This window comes from Homo sapiens, chromosome 10 (assembly GCF_000001405.40).
Source record: "Homo sapiens chromosome 10, GRCh38.p14 Primary Assembly".
NCBI classification, from domain to species: Eukaryota; Metazoa; Chordata; class Mammalia; order Primates; family Hominidae; genus Homo; species Homo sapiens.
Window position 1 is genome coordinate 132,248,462 of NC_000010.11, and position 19,756 is coordinate 132,268,217.

A 19,756-nucleotide genomic window follows, 5' to 3' on the forward strand; every position below is an offset into this window, starting at 1 on the left:
GCTCTGGGTCCAAGGACCCTCTGTCCACCTAGGCTCCACCCAGGCCCAGGTTGCCGCTGCCCAGAGACCCCTGTGCTCCTTGCAGCGGCCGGTAGAGGCAAAAGAGCCACAGCGGGCACAGGAGCCCGTGGTCGGCACAGCCTTGGCCATTCCCAACAGAGCTGAGGACGAGGGTGGTGGTCCACGCCCACGTGCATGCCTAGGACGGCCACATGGCACCTGCTGTGCCAGGCCCCTGACCCTGGCACTTGGCACATGGGTACCTGGAGTCCAGTCCTGCACTGCCCTGGGAAACGAAGCCAGCATCTTCCTGTCCATGGGCACGTGCTCTGGCGGCCTCCCCCAGGACCCCAAGCAGCCCGCACAGCACAGAGCCCTAAGCCTCTGGCCCCCGAGCTGTGAACCAGCAAGGGAGTCCAGCCACCATCACCTCCACTTTAGAGAATAAGCACAAGTTCCCAAGGTTAGTCCCTCCCGGAGAGGAAAAGGATGGGAAACAAAATCTATTAAATAACAAGTCAGAAGCATAAGGGAGTCACGGCAATTGGGTCACCTGCGCCCTGCACACCTGCAAAGCCTCCCGACTGTGCGACGGAGGCGGCGGCTCCGGCAGAGGCTCCCAGCTGGGAGGCAGCAGCAAGGCGCATGCGTGCCGGGGCGGGGCTGTGGCGTCAGGGCGTGCAGGGGGCGGGGCGTGCAGGGGGCGGGGCTATGGGGGTCAGGGCGTGTCAGGGGCGGGGCCGTGGGGTTGCGGGAGTGCTGGGAGTGGGGCTGAGGGTGGGGCTGTGGGGTTAGGGGCATGCGGCCCCCACTCTGCAGTGCCTGTGATTTGAACACAACTGTCCCTGCTTCCTAAGACTGACAAGGAGGGCAGCCACAGGGACACCAAGGGACACCAAGTCCAAGACAGCCATGCAGATGCTGCTCAGGGAAGGTGCAGGCAGGGCAGGAATCCTGGATGTGGCTCCAGGATGCCGTGCAAGCAGCAGAGTGGACACCTGTGGGCCTGGGCAGGGCTCACCGCACCAGCGCCCCTGAGAAGCCCCGAGCCAAGTGGTCCCTGCCGGCCATGTCCACAGGGATCCCTGCTCAAGGACCTGTTGGCCCAGACCCCGCAAGGTGAGTCAGGGGCACTGGCAGGGGGCTGACCGGCATCGTGGCTGTCCTCTGGATGACCGTGGCTCCACCCTGATGCCCAGCTCCTGCTGCCCCCAGGTGCCCACCTGGCCTTGCCACTGTGCACAGCGGCCCTCATGCCCTCCCGACCCCAGCCCCAAAGGCTCCAAACCAGTGGAACTGGAGACCCAGTGGCTGTTTCAGGCTCCTGTCCCCAGCTCCTGCCATCAGCAACCCATGAGGGTCTCCGCACTGCCCCAGGCTGGGCCAGGACCTCCCATGACCACCGGCCCTGCCCCACGCAAGCCCAGGCTCAGCCCCATTCCTGGCTCCCAAAGGAGAGGTGAGCTCTCATTCCAGCACTCAGCGGAGGAGATAAGGAAAAGGAAGTCCACCAGCCGGAATCTGTCAAAACAGCTTCCTGTGGGCTTTGAGGGGAGCAATATGTAATCAGCCTGGTGTCCCAAGAGTGGTCCTGCAACCACCACAGTCACCAGGAGCCGGTGTCTACGGAGTCCATCAAACTCCTCTCATGAGAGTTCCCAGAGCTCCCTGCACGCTGGCTCCGCACCGGGGGAGGGAAGGGGCTGAGGCCGCAGAGCCCAGGGTGGCACTGGCAGAGGGGACAGCACCCTGAGGACAGGTGTGTGTGAGGCGCCCGGGACAGGTCACTGCAGAGAGGAGCCCCACCCCGAGGGCAGGTGTGTGTGAGGCGCACAGGACAGGTCACTGCAGAGAGAGGGCAGGTGTGTGTGAGGCGCACGGGACAGGTCACTGCAGAGAGGAGAGGGCAGGTGTGTGTGAGGCGCACGGGACAGGTCACTGCAGAGAGGAGAGGGCAGGTGTGTGTGAGGCGCACGGGACAGGTCACTGCAGAGAGGAGAGGGCAGGTGTGTGTGAGGCGCACGGGACAGGTCACTGCAGAGAGGAGAGGGCAGGTGTGTGTGAGGCGCACGGGACAGGTCACTGCAGAGAGGAGAGGGCAGGTGTGTGTGAGGCGCACGGGACAGGTCACTGCAGAGAGGGGCTCCGCCCCGAGGCAGGTGGGTGTGAGGTGCCCGGGACAGGTCACTGCAGAGAGGGGCCCCGCCCCGAGTGCAGGTGTGTGTGAGGTGCCCGGGACAGGTCATTGCAGAGAGGAGACCCGGGCAAGTGTTCCTGAACCTTCCACGTCTCCGCCTGGCTTTCCATCGGCAGCACGGAAGTCGGAGACCGTTCTAGGCAAAGGTCAACGTCTGGTCCCCAGAGAGGAGGAAGGTTCCAAGCTGGGCAAGAGGCCAACGCTGCACTCAGAGCCCCCAAAACCAATCCCTGCCTCATGGTGGGCTCCATGCAGGCCACCTCCACGCCCACCTCCTTGGGGCCTCAGTTTCCTCCTCTGCCAGTGGGAGGGTACAGTGGCGGTCTGCATAGCAGAGGCCTGGGTGGGGCCTATGGAGCATTAGGGGAGCCAGGGATGTCCCAGCAGGACCCCACCATCCCTGGGGTCACCCCCAAGGAGCCCTGAGCCCCAGGCCCCACACATCTGCCTCCTATCTGCCACAGGACCGGCCTGGGGGTCTAGGAGCCACCATGTGGTCACCCAACAGCAGGGGTGACCCCAGCTACTGGGTCCCCAGGCCATGAATCTGCTCCCAGGCCCTACCCAGTTTCGCCTAGTCCCAAGTCCGCTCTCATGGGGGCCCGTGGAGGGGGCAGAGGCCAGGCCCCTGCAATGGGAGGAGAGGGAGCAGAGGGACGGGTCTGCGTGGTGGTGCCATGGGCAGCCCTGGTCACCGAGGAAGCCGGACAGGCTCCCAGAAGGAGTGGGTGTGCAAAGGGTTGGGGTCATGTCACTTGATCTGGGCCTCAGAGGGGAGTGGGCATGGTCCCTTCCTTATACACAGAGCCTACTGTGAACGGCCGAGGAGCCCTGTGGCCCTGGGAAGGGGGGGCATAGGAGCCCCCACACCATCTCTTTACCCCACCTCGCCCCACACTCAGCCCCTCAGGACTTGGGTGAGCACCCCAAGAGGGTGGTGGGTGCCCACCTCAGATCGACTCTGGCTTCTGGGGGTTGAGCCCTGAATGCAAACCCTCCACTACCCACCACAGGCAGGTCAACACCCTATGCCTCCTGGGGCCTCCGACCCTCCACTACCCACCACAGGCAGGTCAACACCCTACACCTCCTGGGGCCTCCGACCCTCCACTACCCACCACAGGCAGGTCAATGCCCTACGCCTCCTGGGGCCTCAGACCCTCCACTACCCACCACAGGCAGGTCAATGCCCTACGCCTCCTGGGGCCTCAGACCCTCCACTACTCACCACAGGCAGGTCGATGCCCTACGCCTCCTGGGGCCTCAGACCCTCCACTACCCACCACAGGCAGGTCAATGCCCTACGCCTCCTGGGGCCTCAGACCCTCCACTACTCACCACAGGCAGGTCAATGCCCTATGCCTCCTGGGGCCTCCGACCCACGCCTCCCCCTCACATCCCCATCTCATCCTGCTGGGCCCCTCAGGGCTGGACTTTGGCACTGTCTGATCAGAAGTCTCTGGCCAAGAACCCGCTAGGGACATGGCGGCCTGCTAACCAGCCAAGGTCAGAGGTCACCACATGAACCGCTGGCCAGGCCCATTCCAGACCCAGGAAGGAGGGAGACAACCTCCTGGAGTGAACTCTTCAGTGTGGGGGAAACACTCAACAAGCCCACAGTGTGGCACCAGGTGCCAGGGAGGGGGCTAAAGCAGGAAAGGGGGAGGGGGCTGCCATCCTACAAGGCCGTCGGGAGACATTTCTGAAGGGGACATTTGGCAAAGAAGTGTGGGCATGGGTCGTGATTACGGGGACCAAGACTGGTCTGTCACGCTCCTCGGCGTGATTTACGCCGTGCAGTGATGCTGTCAGCGCATCCTTCACCCGTGCTGTCCACCTCTCAAATTAAGACGCAGGTAAAAGGAGAAGCAGACGCAGCTCCCCACAATCCCATCTCACAGCTAGGGGGCTCCTTCCCAGGAACCAGGACACATCTGCCTGAAGGAAGCACCTCTGTACTTGTGTGCACCCAACGGCGGGCGTGGGATGGACGGAGCGGCTCGGAGCTCCGGGCCCACCAGCACCTGCCCTCATTGTGCAGCTTGGCCAAAGGGCCACAGACACAGTCTTCCCAGTACAGCAAATGCATTCGAATCCAGGGTCTTTAAAATATTTATTCTTCAAGGAAGGCTTTTATTTTTTTGGTGTTGGCAACTGAGAGCAGGTCCTATGAGAGTCGCCATCTGAATCCCGCTAAGTGACCCGAGCGTGGGGCCGCCTCCTCCCAGGTCACTCTGGATTCTGCATCCACACAGGTGGGTTGAGAAACCAACACCAGCCCCCACACCTCCCACGGTGTCCGGCAGCCTCTCCAGGTCCTCCCCAAGGGCTGCTAGCTGGGGTCTCAGTCCCTGAACCAGGCCCCACAATCAGAGATAGGTTCTCTTGAGACTTGTCAGCGCTAAGCCCAGCACCCAGACAGCAGGGACGTTCGTCCTCCCTAACGCAGCATTTCCCTGTTCTCAGAGAGTTTTGCCACCATCTCCAGGCTTACCAGGAGCAACAAAATAACCAAAGAAAAGGCAAGGAGCTTTTCCGGAAAGCAGCACTCCAACGCAATTGTTTCTGGTTTCTGGGTTGCCAGCACAGGTGGCCCAACCACATGTCTGCCTGGAAGGTCCTGCCGGGCCTGGGAACTGGAACCGGGCAAAAGGAAGCTGGAGGGAGCAGAGGGAGCTGGAGGGAGCCGAGGGAGCTGGAGAGAGTCAAGGGAGCCTGGGGAGCCGAGGTAGCTGGAGGGAGTCGAGGGAGCTGGAGGGAGCTGGAGGGAGTCGAGGGAGCTGGAGGGAGTCGAGGGAACTGGAGGGAGCTGGAGGGAGTCGAGGGAGCTGGAGGGAGTCGAGGGAGCTGAGGGAGCTGAGGGAGCCGGAGGGAGCTGGAGGGAGTCGAGGGAGCTGGAGGGAGTCGAGGGAGCTGGAGGGAGCTGGAGGGAGCCGAGGGAGCTGGAGGGAGCCGAGGGAGCTGGAGGGAGCTGAGGGAGCTGGAGGGAGTCGAGAGAGCTAGAGGGAGTCCAGGGAGCCTGCGGAGCTGAGGGAGCTGAGGGAGCCGCCCCTCCACAGCACATCTAAGGCCAAACACCGGCTCGAGGCGAGAGATGGCCAAGACGTCACCTCTGGCATGGCTACCACCAAGTCCAAGGCAAAAGCGTTAGGTAACATTTCAACACTTTTCCCCAAGAATAAAAAATGATCTGCCCTCCCGTGTGCCTGGCTAGAACCTTCCTCCCGCCCTGCAGGGACCCGCCTCTGCGTCTAGCACTCGGCTGAGTGGCTGGCCCACATGGGCATAGAAAGAGCACTTCCAATAACAAACCATGTTAGGAAAGCCCAAAGCCTCAGTGGAGTTTCAGGTTAAAACCTAGTCTTTTCAGGCAGGGCGCGGTGGCTCATGCCTGTAATCCCAGCACTTAGGGAGGCCGAGGCAGGTGGATCACGAGGTCAGGAGATCGAGACCATCCTTGCCAACATGGTGAAACCCCGTCTCTACTAAAAATACAAAAAATTAGCCAGGCATAGTGGCGGGCGCCTGTAATCCCAGCTACTCAGGAGGCTGAGGCAGGAGAACGGCATGAACCCGGGAGGCAGAGGTTGCAGTGAGCCAAGATCGCGCCTCTGCACTCCAGCCTGGGCAAAAAGGGCGAAACTCCATCAGGGGAGAAAAAAACAACAAAAAAAAATAGCCTTTTCATAAGCCAGGGCTTGTATCAAAACTGGTAAGAAAATACTCCCAATGAGGACAGCAAAAGAAGAGAGGAGAGTAAAATAAGCCTGCCGCAGGGCGCCGGGAATCAGCACTATGTCACCCCGGCACAATGCGTGCACCCTCCACGAAGGCTGCCCCCAGACCTGGGAGCCCAGGAGAGTAAAATAAGCCTGCCGCAGGGTGCCGGGAGTCAGCACTATGTCACCCCGGCACAATGCGTGCACCCTCCACGAAGGCTGCCCCCAGACCTGGGAGCCCAGGAGAGTAAAATAAGCCTGCCGCAGGGCGCCGGGAATCAGCACTATGTCACCCCGGCACAATGCGTGCACCCTCCACGAAGGCTGCCCCCAGACCTGGGAGCCCAGGAGAGTAAAATAAGCCTGCCGCAGGGCGCCGGGAATCAGCACTATGTCACCCCGGCACAATGCGTGCACCCCACGCGAAGGCTGTCTCAAGAGCTGGAGAATCAGCTCTGCTCCTGACACCCCAGGTCCCCTCTTGATGTCTTTGGAGGCCCGGGAAGTGGGTGCTGGACAGTTTCAGAGCTGCCACGTGGTGGATGAGCTGCCCACAGCTGCAGGCGTGTCCCAGGCCTGGGACGCTTCCCTTCACAGCCCACCCCACCCACTCATCCGGAAGAGGCCCCCACGTCCAAGTGTCCTCAGGCAGAACCAGCCCGTTCACCAATGGGAGGATTGCACAGCAGAAGTGGGCACTACTGTGAGAGCTGTCACAAAGATCAAATGTCACACGTGGTTGAAACACACGCAGAAGTTGATTAAATGCCGTCTCGTCTCCTATGACCTGGGAAGTGCTTATGATGAGGAAAATCATCCCCCAGGACTCCGAGACGCAGGCCCCGCAGAGCTTGTGCAGCCTCTGGGGATGTCTGGCCCACACGGGGCTCCTGACTTAGGAAATACCGGGCCAGGTGGAAGAGTTGGAACCGGCCCGATAGCTCCTCCTGGCAATGGGTGCCCCCCACTCCCACTCCTCAGGTGCCCTGGCCCGCTAGGTCAACAGGAACCACAGGAGTCACCAGACATCACCTCACAGACCCCTCACCCTCTTGCCATGGCCTGCGGGAACAAAGACCCACCACGCTGACGGGCAGGGTTGACGCAGATGGGGACAAGACAGGTGGGGGCTAGAGACAGGCATGAGAGCCGCTGGGCAGGGGTGAGGAGGCTCCCGAGTTACAGCGGAGAACATAGAGCAGAAGCGTCCAGCCACAGCAGCACCCAGGAGAGGAGCAGGGGGCCCTGCAGGAAGCAGGTCCCTCAACCCTTGCTGAGCCCCACGCGGTTTCCTGCACCACTGAGGATGTGTTGAAACCCCAGGGCAGGAAGGTCAGAGATCAGGAGAGGGGATGAGGGTGTGGGTGCCGGCCTCTGACCCTGGACTCCTCAGTCCAGAGGGGGCCTGGAGCCTCGAGGTCATGCCTGGGTGCCAGCACCATGGCCCAGCATTACGTGCGCTGCCCACGCATCTCCGAGGGCCCAGCTGGCCACCTTCTCCTTCTCCACCGTCCCCTCACCCAGGGGCAGACCCCCATGACCAGCAGCCTGCAGCCTCTGCACACCCTGGAGCCCTGGTGTCCAGCTTGGACTCGCCCGGGTGGCTTGGCGGCTTCCCGGCATCCCTGGGCAGCTCCGGGACAGGGCTCTGTCCTCAGCTGGCACCACCACCCTTCCAGCCTCGGGGAGCCAACTGGGGTCTTACTCTGGGAACATACCCTGTGCCCCAGGCTCCATCTTGGCAGCGATGCCCTCACCCTGTCTTTTCTGTGAAACAGACACAGCCAGGATGTGGCAGCAGCCCACAGCTGAGTCCTGTGGGGCCCCTGGGCTCCGAAACAATTGTGGCTTCTCCTGCCCAGGTACACACCCAGAGCCCGGGGTCCTGGTGCCTACACCTCCAGCAGGACCCTGTTGGCGGCAGCATTCTTGCCATCTCCCTCCCCCACCTTAATTGCAGTGAAAGCTTCCACCCATAAAACAGGCTCAGTGGCAGCTTCCCAGGCCAGCACTGTGGATCCTGGTCCTGTCTGGTCTGAAATTGTCTGGAATCATGTTCCGGTGTTTAATATCGACATCCTCAGACAACACGGGGATCTGCCATAAATGAGTGATTAGGGCAACCGCCTGATCAATACAGTATCTCCGGGTGGCAGAGGCTCAGGCCTGAGACCGCAGTGCCTGAGACCGCAGGAGTCGCCCACGGCAGCAGGGACCTGGGCTCCTCCAGCTCCCCAAACCGCTGGAGAGGTGGGCAGCAGCACCTCCCCCCAGGCTGCCTAGAGGGGTCCTACTGTCCAAGGCCCGGCCCCACCCACCCCTGCCTCTCACTGCGCAGGGCCCAGCACCCCAGGACCACCCACAGGGGCAGACCTGGAGGACTCCAAGGCCGCCTGGCCCTGCAGCAGCTGAGAAGCCTGCTCCTGGGGCTGCCCGCCCAGAGGCACAGATGCTTGGGGACCCCGGAGCTGCAATGGAGACAGCCCTGACTCGGGGTGGGGCTTGGGGTTCCTCCTGAGTCCTGAACCCTGAGGCAGGTGTGCCTAGCCAGTGGGGGGGACGCTGGCCACAGCAGCAGCAGCACTGGATGAGGGGGAGCGAGCCCAGTGGGATCCCAGGGCTGGGGATCAAAGCAGAACAGCCCAGGAAGGAGCCCTGGCCAGGAGCAGATGGATGGGCAGGGCCCTGTGTCCTGGGGTGTGGCTGCACCAAGGGCCACACTCAGGGCTCGCTGTGGGACCAGCTGGGGGCTGCCCATGAGGCTGGGTCCTCAGGGGGGTGAGGCCTGTGGATACAGGACATGCCCTGAAAGACCCCAGAGGTCAGTGTGTTCAGAGGCCAGCACGAGATGGGTAGGTGTGTGGGTGGGTCAAGGCTGGAAAAAGCCCTGTCCACGTGTCTGTCCTTCCATCCTCCCACCTGCAGCCCCTGGGGTCCTGCACAGCCCTCCCACACCCGTGCCACTGTCTCCCACAGAGGGAGACGGAGGGGCTCCTAGGAAGAGGTGGCTCCTGGCAGCCACAGGCCCCTAGGCCAGCGGGCTGTGGTCATTCAGGGTGCCTGAGAGCTCCCAGGGAGAGGGGCAGAGCTGGAGGAGGAGTGACTCAGAGCAGGGAGGGAGCATCACACCCCCCAGCCAAAGAGATGGGCGGGGCGGAGCTGCGAAGGAGTGGGTGGCAGGATGCTGCCTGTTCTGGCACAGAAAGCCACATCACCCCTGTCCACCCCATCTGGTGCCCACCCCCTGCTGCCGGCCCCCTGCCCTGCCCTCTCTCTGCCTCTGTCCCCAGGGGCGCCCACTGTGAGCCAATGATGGCAATCCCAGGCCTGACACCCCCACAATCCTCCCCCCAACCCCCACCCTCCACCAGGCCCCTCTGCAGACACTAGGAGGGGGCCCCAGAACCAAACACCCCCAGGGGACCCATCAGCTGCCCTGGGCTGGGGGCTCCTCTACACCTGCAGGTGGGACTCAGGGCTCTCGAGCCTCCACTGTGCAGCCTGCCTGAGGCCCAAAGGAGGCCGCGGCCCAGCAGGCCCCTGAAAGCCACAGGCCCTGACATGGGCTGCAAAGACCAGCAAGGCTCTCCTCAGTGCACGGACTCCACCTGCCCCGGGAAATCGGTCAGGACGAAGGGCTCCATGTCCCAAGTGCCCTCACTGTCCCTGTCCTTGTCACCCCATCACACACATGTGCTGATGAATGCCGGCTGAGTGGCCCCCCAGGACCTCCCCGGGAGCAACAGCAAGTGTCCCAGCCCCAGGACATCGGCCCTGACCTGACCTAGAGAGGGGGGCAGCTGCCTCTCCTGGATCTGCAGTGGACAGGCAAGAGGGCCCAGCTGCCAAGGCTGGGCAGGTGTCTGCCGGGCACAGCGGGAGCTTTGCTCCAAGGTGGCATGAGCTCCAGTCTGATTTTCACACACATTAGCACTTGGTAGAGTGGAAAGCACCTTTCCCCAAACCATCAACAGCACTCGAAGAGTTCCTCACAGCCTCCTTTTCCTAAAATGGAAAGCGTGGCCCTGGCCGCCCCCCATCACCCCCCACGGGGCCCTTCCAGGGCTCTTTGCAAAGGACAGGTGGAGCCCGTGTCATCCTCAGGACGGGTCCAGTGCGCTCTCCTGGGTGCCTAGGCCAGCGCGTTCTCCTGGAAGGACAGGTCCAATGCGCTCTCCCGGGTGGCTGGGCCAGCGCGCAGGCCTTCCTCTGGAATTCCTCCCAGCCCACCGAACAGGAACAGGGCGGCGGGCTCACAGCCGGTCCTCTGGGCACCTAACGCCCTGGGTACCGACTGCTGTCCACGCTGACGCTGTGAGGGCCAGCAGGCCCTGGAAAGGAGCTGCTTCTGGACTCACACGTATTCCCACTGCCCCTCCTGAGCGGGCCCAGGCCACACGGTCGCACACCTCAGGGCCGGATGAGGATCCCCAAACACCACAGTGCCGAGGAGGGGCTGCGAGGGCCTCCAGGGCATGGCCTCTTCCACAACATGAAGGTCTCCGCCCGTGGGCAGACGGGGGTTGAGGATGACCAGTTCATCAGGAAGGAATTTTATCCTAGAAATGCTAATGGCAAATGGTAGGAAAATATCATCTCCAACTAAAAGCATTCACTCGACAACACATGAACAGGGCTATAGCTTGGGAGGCTGCTGCACCGGGTACTGGGGGCACAGCTGGGGGCATGGACAGGGCTGTGGCTTGGGAGGCTGCTGCACCGGGTACTGGGGCACAGCTGGGGGCATGAACAGGGCCATAGCCAACCATTCTCACCCTCATGTGCACCTTCCCCATCCCAGCCTCCAAGCCCTGGGGCAGGTGGGAAAATGGGCCCTGCAGGACCCTCCTTCCATCCAGGGTAAGATGTAACTTCCTGACATGGTTTGGCTCTGTGTTCCCACCCAAATCTCATGTAAGATGTAACTCCCTGATATGGTTTGGCTCTATGTCCCCACCCAAATCTCATGCTGAATTGTCATCCCCAGTGTTGGAGGAGGGTCCTGGTGGGAGGTGACTGGGTCAACGGGGCGGAGATCCCCCTTGCTGTTCTCGTGATAGTGAGTTCTCACGAGATCAGTGTTGGAGGAGGGTCCTGGTGGGAGGTGACTGGATCATGGGGTGGAGTTCCCCCTTGCTGTTCTCGTGATAGTGAGTTCTCATGAGATCTGGGCGTCTGAAAGTGTGTGTCACTTCCCCTCCACTCTCTTCTACCTGCTCCAGCCATGAGAACGTGCTGGCCTCCCCTTGGCCTTCCACCATGACTGTAAGTTTCCTGAGGCCTCCCAGCCAGGCTTCCTGTACAGCCTGCAGAAGTGAGTCCATTAAACCTCTTTTCTTTATAAATTATTACCCAGTCTCAGGTAGTTCTAGCAATGCGAAAACGGACTAATAACCACCATCTCAGGAAACCATGGCCGGCATTCCGGAGCGGCCCCTGCAGTTTCCCTGTGACACTCGCTACACACTTTCTGGGATGTGCCCTCACAGGGCCGGTTGCCTGAATGAAGGAACTGTGTGTTTTCAACTGGCCTGAATAAGCCCATCGGGCTTCGCAGGGCAGGGGTTGTTGCCATGGTTTCCTGTTATGGGTGAGTGTTCTACATGGGCTCCAGACCAAGGGCAGAGCGCACGCATCACGGAGGCCCCATGCACACATGCCACAAATGCACGCTGTGTAAAGTCTGGTTCAGGAAAAAAAAAAATCCAAGCTAAACCCTGATGATGTTGAGAGAGGGTCACCTGGCTCAGGGACCCTGGAATCAAAGCTGTCCCCAGAAATAACTGTTCAGGTTGAGGAGACACTGACACGTCCTCCCAGCCACGTTGTCAGGGACAGCAATGGCCTCAGCCTCCGCCTGGCCCCTGGCCCTGCTCAGCCACTGGGGAATGTACCAAAGCCCACCCCCAGAGTCCGGCCCGGGGTCCTCGCAGGTGTCCGGCTTGGAGACAAGGACACGGCACCACTGAGAGCCAACTGCACGGAAGAGGCAGGAGGCCAAGCCGGAGCCAGCGCGAAATCCACCCCTGCGGCCCCTCTGCCTCCACCAGCTCCTGTGTGCCAGGGAATGGGCTCCACCCCAAGCCCCAGCGCCCTCCCATACCCTCCCACCGGACACACAGGCCCCGGTCTTGGGATGCTGGGCACCGTTGTCGGGTCCTGGGTGTTGCAGGGGGCTGCTTCCCAGACCCTCACCTTCGGACTGTGTCATTCAAGGGGACTGCTCTGCTTCCTCGGCCCACCTGCAAGCAGGGGCCAGCAGATACCCATGAGGCACACCCCACTATTCTGCACCCAGGGCCCCGTGATCGAGTCTGTGCCCCATGCAGTGCTCATGGATGCCACCAGTGGCCGGGTGGGCATTGCTTCACCACGTGCCCATCACCACCTGGAGGGGCAGGGAGAGGGGCGAGACAGGGCCCAGTTAAAGCCCACGCCCAACACCACAGTGGCACCTGGGGGCCCCTGGACGTGCCAAGGCCCAGCAGGAGCACAGGGGACAGGCTGCGAGGTCAGCGCTGCCAGACCCTCCCTCCCAGAACCCCGTCAGGACGCTCATGCGGGCCCCCAGCAGGCCCCTAGCCCACAGAGCTCTACCTCCGCTCAGTCCAGCCCCTGGGGCTGGGGGAAGCTGTCCGACTGGCATCCCGACCTCCCACAGGCCTCAGGGACTACGAGCTTAGGCCTTGGAGACGATCACTGCTTCCCATGGGGAGGACTCGGGGACTACGAGCTTAGGCCTTGGAGACGATCACTGCTTCCCATGCGGAGGACTCGGGGACTACGAGCTTAGGCCTTGGAGATGATCACTGCTTCCCATGGGGAGGCTGTGGAGTTGCCAGGTGGCTGGAGAATCTCCCCGGGGAAGGAATGAGGCGCCTGGAACTGACAAACGACCTCAGTAAAGTTTCAGGATACAGAACCAACATACAACAATCCACAGCATTTTTATACACCAATAACATTCAAGCTGAGAACCAAATCAAGAATACAATCCCATTTACAACAGCCAAAAAATAAAATACAATACCCAGGAATACACCTAACCAAGGAGATGAAAGAGCTCTACAAGGGGAACTACAAAATACTGCGGATAGAAATCAGGGGCCGGGCACGGTGGCTCACACCTATAATCCCAGCACTTTGGGAGGCCAAGGCAGGTGGATCACCTGAGGTCAGGAGTTTGAGACCAGCCTGGACAACACGGTAAAACCCTGTCTCTATTAAAATACAGAAAATTAGTCAGGCATGGTGGTGCACACCTGTAATCCCAGCTAGTCAGGAGGCTGAGGCACAAGAATTGCTTGAGCCCGGCAGGCAGAGGTTGCAGTGAGCCAAGATTGCACCACTGCACTCCAGCCTGGGCAACGGAGAGACAGTCTGTCTCAAAAAAATAAAATAAAAAAGAAGTCAGAGATGACACAAACCAGTGGAAATGCATCCCATGCTAACAGATTGGCAGAATCAATATTGTTAAAATGGCCATACTGCCCAAAGTAATCTACTGATTCAATGCTCCTCCTATCAAACTACAAAGTCATTTTTCACAGAAACAGGAAAAACTATGCTAAAATTCACATGCAACCAAAAATGAGCTCAAATAGCCAAAGCGATCCTAAGAAAAAAGAACAAAGCTGGGGGCATCACATTACTGGACTTCAAACTCTACTACAGGGCCAAAGTAACCAAAACAGCATGGCACTGGTACAAAAACAGACACATAGACCAATGGAGCAGAATAGAAAACCCCAAATTAAGGCTGCACACCTACAACCATCTGATCTTCGACAAAGCTGACAAAATCAAGCAATGGGGAAAGGACTCCCCATTCAATAAATGGTGCTGGGAGAGCCGGCGAGCCACATGAGGAAGAATGAAGCTGGACTTCTGCTTTTCACCATATACAAAAATTAACTCAAGACAAAGACTGAAATGTAAGACCTCAAACTATAAAAGTTCTAGGAGAAAAGCAGAAAACACCCTTCTTGACACCAGCCTTGGAAAGAATTTATGACTAAGTCCTCAAAAGCAATTTCCATAAAAACGAAATGTGACAAGTGGAACCTAATTAAGCTAAAGAGCTTCTGCACGGCAAGAGAAACCATCAACAGAAGAAACAGAAAACCTACAAACAGGGAGAAAATATTCACAAACTACGCATCTGACAAAGTTCTAATAACCAGAATCTACAAGGAACTTAAACAACTGAACAAGCAACAAACAAATAAACCTATTAAAAAACGGGTAAGATACAGCTGGGCACAGTGGCTCACGCCTGTAATCCCAGCACTTTGGGAGGCTGAGGTGTGTGGATCACGAGGTCAGGAGATCACACCACTGTACTCCGGCCTGGTGACAAGAGTGAGACTCCATCTCAAAAAAAAAAAAAAAAAAAACAGGTAAAATACATGAACAGACACTTTTCAACAGCAGATCCAAATGGCCAACAAGCATATGAAAAACATGCCCCACATCACTAATCATCAGAGAAATGCAAGTCAAAGCCACAATGAGACACCATCTCACACCAGTCAGGACGACTGTTATTAAAAAGTCATAAAACAACAGATGCTGGCAAGACTGCAGAGAAAAGAGAACAAACGCTTATACACTATTAGTGGGAATCTAAATTAGTTCAGCCACTGTGGAAAGCAGTTTGAAGATTTCTCAAAAAATATAGAACTACCATTTGATCCAGCAATCCCATTATGGGTACGTATCCAAAAGAAAACAAATCGTTCTACCAAAAAGACACGCGCATTCGTGTGTTCATTGTGGTGCTAATCACAACAGCAATGACGTGAATCAACCCAGGTGCCCATCCACGGTGGACTGGATAAAGAAAACGCAGTACCTATACACCATGGCATATCACACAATCGTAAAAAAGAGCAAGATTATGGCCTCTGTGGCAACATGGATGCAGCTGGAGGCCATAATCCTAAGCGACTTAATGCAGGAACAGAAAACTCAATACCACATGTCCTCATGTGTAGGTGGGAGCTAACCACTGGGCACACGTGGACATAAAGACAGGAACAATGGACACCGGGACTGCGAGGCAGGGGAGAAGAGGAGGAGTCAAGGGTTGAAAAACCAGCCACTGGGTACTATGCTCAGTGCTTGGGTGACAGGATCAATTGAACCCCAAACCTCAGCATCACGCAATATACCCAGGCAACGAACCTGCACCCTCAAATCTAAAATAAAAATTGAGATTATGTAATCCCAGCATTTTGGGAGGCAGAGGCAGGTGGATCTCCTGAGGTCAGGAGTTCGAGACCCACCTAGCCAACATGGTGAAACCCCATCTCTACAAAAAATACAAAAAAAAAAAAGATAGCTGGGCATGGTGGTGGACGCCTGTAATCCCAGCTACTCGGGAGGCTGAGGCATAAGAACTGCTTGAACCTGGGAGGCAGAGGCTGCCGTGAGCTGAGATTGTGCCACTGCACTCCAGCCTGGATGACAGAACGAGACTCCATCTCAAAAAAAAAAAAAAAAAAAGTTGGGATTATAAAAAAAGAAAAAGCATGGCGCAGTGACACATGGTCCAAGCTGGAAGGACCCTGACAGAAACATAGCGCCAGGTGAAGGCAGCCAGAGACAAGAGTTCATGCATCATGTGACTCCGTCCCTGTGAAATACCCAGTGCCACGACCCAGGGACAGAAGGCAGTGTGGTGGCTGCCAGGAGCTGGGGCAGGCGGTGGCGACGGATGTAATCAGTAGGCATGGAGTCTCCCTTAGGGCTGGTGAGGCGCCTGCAGTTAGATAGAGGTGGTGTGAAGAGTATGTTCTCAACATTGTCAATGCACTAAACACCACGGAACTCTTCACTCTAAAGTGGTTAATTTTGTGTGCTATGAATTTCACTTCAATTAACAAGATAATTATTTAAGTGGCCCACAATCAGTTGGCTGTAGGCTGCAGCCCCCTGGAGGGACACCTGGTCATCAGGTGGCCCCATGTGGATGCCATCACATGGTGGGGAAGGTGGTCAGGGCAGAACTGAGCCGCAGGGACCCCTCGAGCTGGGAGTAGGCGTTAGGTGGGCGGGACGCACAGGGAGCTGGGGACCTTGAGGAAGAAAGGGACAGAGCTTTGTGCTGCACCCCAGCACTGCTGGCACATCCTGCTGGACAGAGGGGATGGTGAAAGAACGGCCTCAGGGAGAGGAGGGACCCGGGCCAGGACCCCTCCAGGACCCTCTCCCACCAGGGAGCTGAGGGGCCAGATGCCATCCTGAGGGGTTTGAGCTGATGGGGGGCATGGATGCAGGGAGGGAGGAGGACTCCCCAAACCAGCACCTAGTGGGGCTCGCATGGGGCACACCCCCACAGGGCCTGTCACCCCAAAGCCAGCGAGGTGGGACCTAGCAGACAGCACAGTCTTCTTTTTCAAGACGAGTTTCCTCGGTGGGAGGTGGGGGCGGGACAGTCGCTCATGGCAGTTTTCCTTGATGGAAGACGTAAAAAATCATGTGAATAAATAGGGCGCTTCATTCTGACTTTCACTTTAGGAAAGACGTTAAACTATGTTAAATTCACAAAAGTTCAAGCCTCATCCATCATACCCGTATTTTATTTATACTCCGCCTGATGTCAGAGGATTCAGGACAGCCACACATCTTCCTGACCTGCTGCAACATGAGAACAGTAGAAGGTGCGAGCAGCAGACATGGCCGCAAGGGCGGTGAGGTGGGCTCTGGGGGTGCCTCAAGGGCGGTGAGGTGGGCTCTGGGGGTGCCGCAAGGGCAGTGAGGTGGGCTCTGGGGGAGCTGCCAGGGCGGCGAGGTGGCTCTGGGGGAGCCGCAAGGGCAGTGAGGTGGGCTCTGGGGGAGCTGCCAGGGCAGCGAGGTGGCTCTGGGGGTGCCGCAAGGGCGGCGAGGTGGGCTCTGCAGCCACCCGGGGGACACTCTGCTGGGCACTGGCTCTTCTCCTTCGATGACAGCCCCTGCTCCTCCCTGCCACACTCAGCCCAGGCCTGGCCCATCACAGCGAGGGTGTCCAGGAAGAGCCAGTCCTGGGCTTCTGGAACTAGGGCAGAAGCGACCACCAGAGCTGCAAGGGCAACACACAGCCTGGAGGAGCCTGTGGGGTCCTCACTGCACTCTGGGGCCCTGCCTGGGTGTGAGGAGAGGACACGGTGCAGAGAGACGGAGGGCAGGCCCATCAGCCCCGCACAGCCCTGGGAGGCCTCTCGCTTTCATGGCTCGGGACAATGTCTTTCCTTCCTGCTGAAGGCTCTGGGTCAGGATTCAGCCGCAGGCAGCCAGGGCACACACAAGGCAGTAATAAATGGCAAGCAGCACATTAAAGATGGGCAAGAGGCCCAGGCAGATGCTTCACAGACGAGAAGCTCCCGAAGGCCAATGAGCACAGGAGAGAGGCTGTCCTTAGTCGCCACGGAAACACAAGGAAAACCCAACGCGGGCCCCCTCCATCCCCCCGGACAGCCAGGGAGAGGGACAGCAGCGAGGCCTGGCAAGGACACCGGGCACCTTGACCCACATGCTAGGGGTTAGGGGGTGCCGTGCACGGCCGCTTGGGAAACTCAGGCAGCATCTTAGTTAAACATACACTTGCTGTGCCACCCGGCAATTCCATTCCTAGCTATTTACACAAAAGGAATGAAACAGACGTCTACCCAAGAATGTGCTTTGCTGCCTTACAACAGTCAAATACTGGAAATAACCCAAACGTCCATCAAGAGGATAATGAATAAAGAAATTATGTTATATCCATACGATGGAATACCACTAGGGGACTTCTTTTAAAGGAACAAACTCCCGATCCATAGCCACGTGGATGAATCTCAAAGGTGTTACATTGAGGGAAAGAAGCCAGGTTTACAAGAGCGCGTCGTGCGATTCTGTTTGTGTGAGTTCAAGAACAGGCTGGACGGATCCACAGTGAGAAGCACAGGTTTGTCTCTGGGGGTAGGAAGGGGATGCTTGGAAAAGAGCCCAGAGAACTTTCCAGAAGGAGGACAACGTTCTCTGTCTCCATGGGGGGTCTTGGTTACACAGGTGTGCCCATCTGTCAAAACATCAATCTGCATACTCACATCTGTGCCCTTGACTGTAATTATACCTCAATACAAATAAATAGATCATCTAGATCAGGGACATTCTGTAGTGGAAGCGTTTTAGGCATCTTATCTGAATTTCAGGAAATGGGTGTTTACCTTTGGCAGCAGGAAACTGAGGCTCACTGAGGTTACATGGCCTGCCCACGCCAAGGAGCCCTCAATTTGTCTCCAGGACAACCCCGAGCCCTGGGGGAGGAACGAGCCAGGGCTGGAGGGGAGGAAGGAACGCGGGCGTGGGTGGGGGAGGCGCTGGGCAAGGGAGGCTAGCTCCATGGGGTGGAAGGAGTGGATCACAAATGCTCTCGGGGAGGAGGGCACTGGAGGGGGCTCCACCGGTGGGGCGGGGGGACTCCAAGGAGAGCATCACACAAGCAGGACCTGGGGGCAGCTCGAGGTCAGAACAACAGGACTTCTCAGCCAGCCTTGAGGCATGGAGTGACAATGGACACTGGGGGTGGGGAGGGCTGCGCGGACGAGGCCGCAGAGGAACTGCAGCTCCAACCCCAACAACCACCGTGAGTGTTGGGAGCTCGGCCGTCACTGAGCGGGCAGCCCCCGCCCACCCCGCTGCAGTGGGGAGACCCAAAGCTGGGTCAGAAGCCGGAGCAGCCCCTTCCAGCCTGTCCTCAGGCTTCCCCGGCCCTGCTCCCCGCATGGTTTCTCTGACCTGTGACACGTGGGCCCTGGGCTCAGTCCAGGCAGTGAGCCAGCTGCAGTAGCAGCCCCTTTAGAAGCAGCAAGCCCAGTGTGGGGTGCAGGTCTCCTTTTGGGGTCCCTTGAAACCTGGCCAAAATGCGAGAAGTCTGCACAGCCCAGCATTCACTTGTATTCTGGAGGCCTGGAATACACCTCAGATCACACCTATGTGTGCGTGTGCCTGTGGGTGTAGCTCTGCACATGTGAATGTGCATGTGTGTCTGTATGCATGTGCATGTATGTTTCTGGGGCTACAGTTCTGTGCATGTGTGTCAGTGCGTGTGCATGCATGTGTATGTGGGTTCAGCTCTATGCCTGTCTGTGTGCATGCATGTCCCACATCGTGTGTGTGTCAGTGTGTGTGCATGCATGTTCAGCTCTATGCCTGTGTGCATGCAAGTCCCACATCGTGTGTGTGTCAGTGCATGTGCATGCATGTGTATGCATGTTCAGCTCTATGCCTGTCTGTGTGCATGCATGTCCCACATCATGTGTGTGTGTGTCGGTGTGTGTGCATGCATGTGCATGCAGGTTCAGCTCTATGTCTATGTGCATGCATGTCCCACATCGTGTGTGTGTGTGTCGGTGCGTGTGCATGCATGTGCATGCAGGTTCAGCTCTATGCCTGTGTGCATGCATGTCCCACATCGTGTGTGTGTGTGTCAGTGCGTGTGCATGCATGTGTATGCAGGTTCAGCTCTATGCCTGTCTGTGTGCATGCATGTCCCACATCGTGTGTGTGTGTGTCAGTGCGTGTGCATGCATATGCATGCAGGTTCAGCTCTATGCCTGTCTGTGTGCATGCATGTCCCACATCGTGTGTGTGTGTGTGTGTCGGTGTGTGTGCATGCATGTGTATGCATGTTCGGCTCTATGCCTGTCTGTGTGCCCACATGTCCCACGTCGTGTGTGTGTGTGTCGGTGTGTGTGCATGCCTGTGTATGCAGGTGCAGCTGTGCCTGCGTGCATGCGTCACATTGTGTGTGTGTGTGTCGGTGTGTGTGCATGCATGTGTATGCAGGTTCAGCTCTATGCCTGTGTGCATGCATGTC

General features: G+C 58.3%; 1 protein-coding gene across 15 annotated transcripts in view, besides 3 other annotated features; it reads right to left on the reverse strand.

Moving 5' to 3' along the window:
• Positions 1–19,756, reverse strand: part of STK32C (serine/threonine kinase 32C) — a 124,754-nt gene that overhangs the window by 40,980 nt on the left and 64,018 nt on the right. For 4 of the 15 annotated variants that reach the window (NR_134911.1, XM_047425114.1, XM_024447949.2 and 1 more), the window contains exon 1: positions 569–647. The exons of the other annotated variants lie outside the window; for them this stretch is intronic. Coding sequence is in view for 2 of the 4 variants with exons in the window: in XM_047425114.1 (XP_047281070.1) it covers positions 569–647 (79 nt within the window). In the remaining 2 variants the exon portion in view is untranslated. Of the gene's footprint in view, positions 1–568; positions 648–19,756 lie in introns of those variants that run through there. 15 annotated transcript variants of the gene reach the window in all.
• Positions 5,792–6,293: an enhancer, noted in NCBI's record as "H3K4me1 hESC enhancer chr10:134067757-134068258 (GRCh37/hg19 assembly coordinates)". NCBI's record gives its function as "activates a minimal SCP1, AML or CMV promoter by ChIP-STARR-seq in primed H9 embryonic stem cells {active_cell/tissue: H9 hESC(primed)}" and the evidence as "EXISTENCE:reporter gene assay evidence [ECO:0000049][PMID:30033119]".
• Positions 6,294–6,793: an enhancer, noted in NCBI's record as "H3K4me1 hESC enhancer chr10:134068259-134068758 (GRCh37/hg19 assembly coordinates)". NCBI's record gives its function as "activates a minimal SCP1, AML or CMV promoter by ChIP-STARR-seq in primed H9 embryonic stem cells {active_cell/tissue: H9 hESC(primed)}" and the evidence as "EXISTENCE:reporter gene assay evidence [ECO:0000049][PMID:30033119]".
• Positions 16,078–16,578: an enhancer, noted in NCBI's record as "H3K4me1 hESC enhancer chr10:134078043-134078543 (GRCh37/hg19 assembly coordinates)". NCBI's record gives its function as "activates a minimal SCP1, AML or CMV promoter by ChIP-STARR-seq in naive H9 embryonic stem cells {active_cell/tissue: H9 hESC(naive)}" and the evidence as "EXISTENCE:reporter gene assay evidence [ECO:0000049][PMID:30033119]".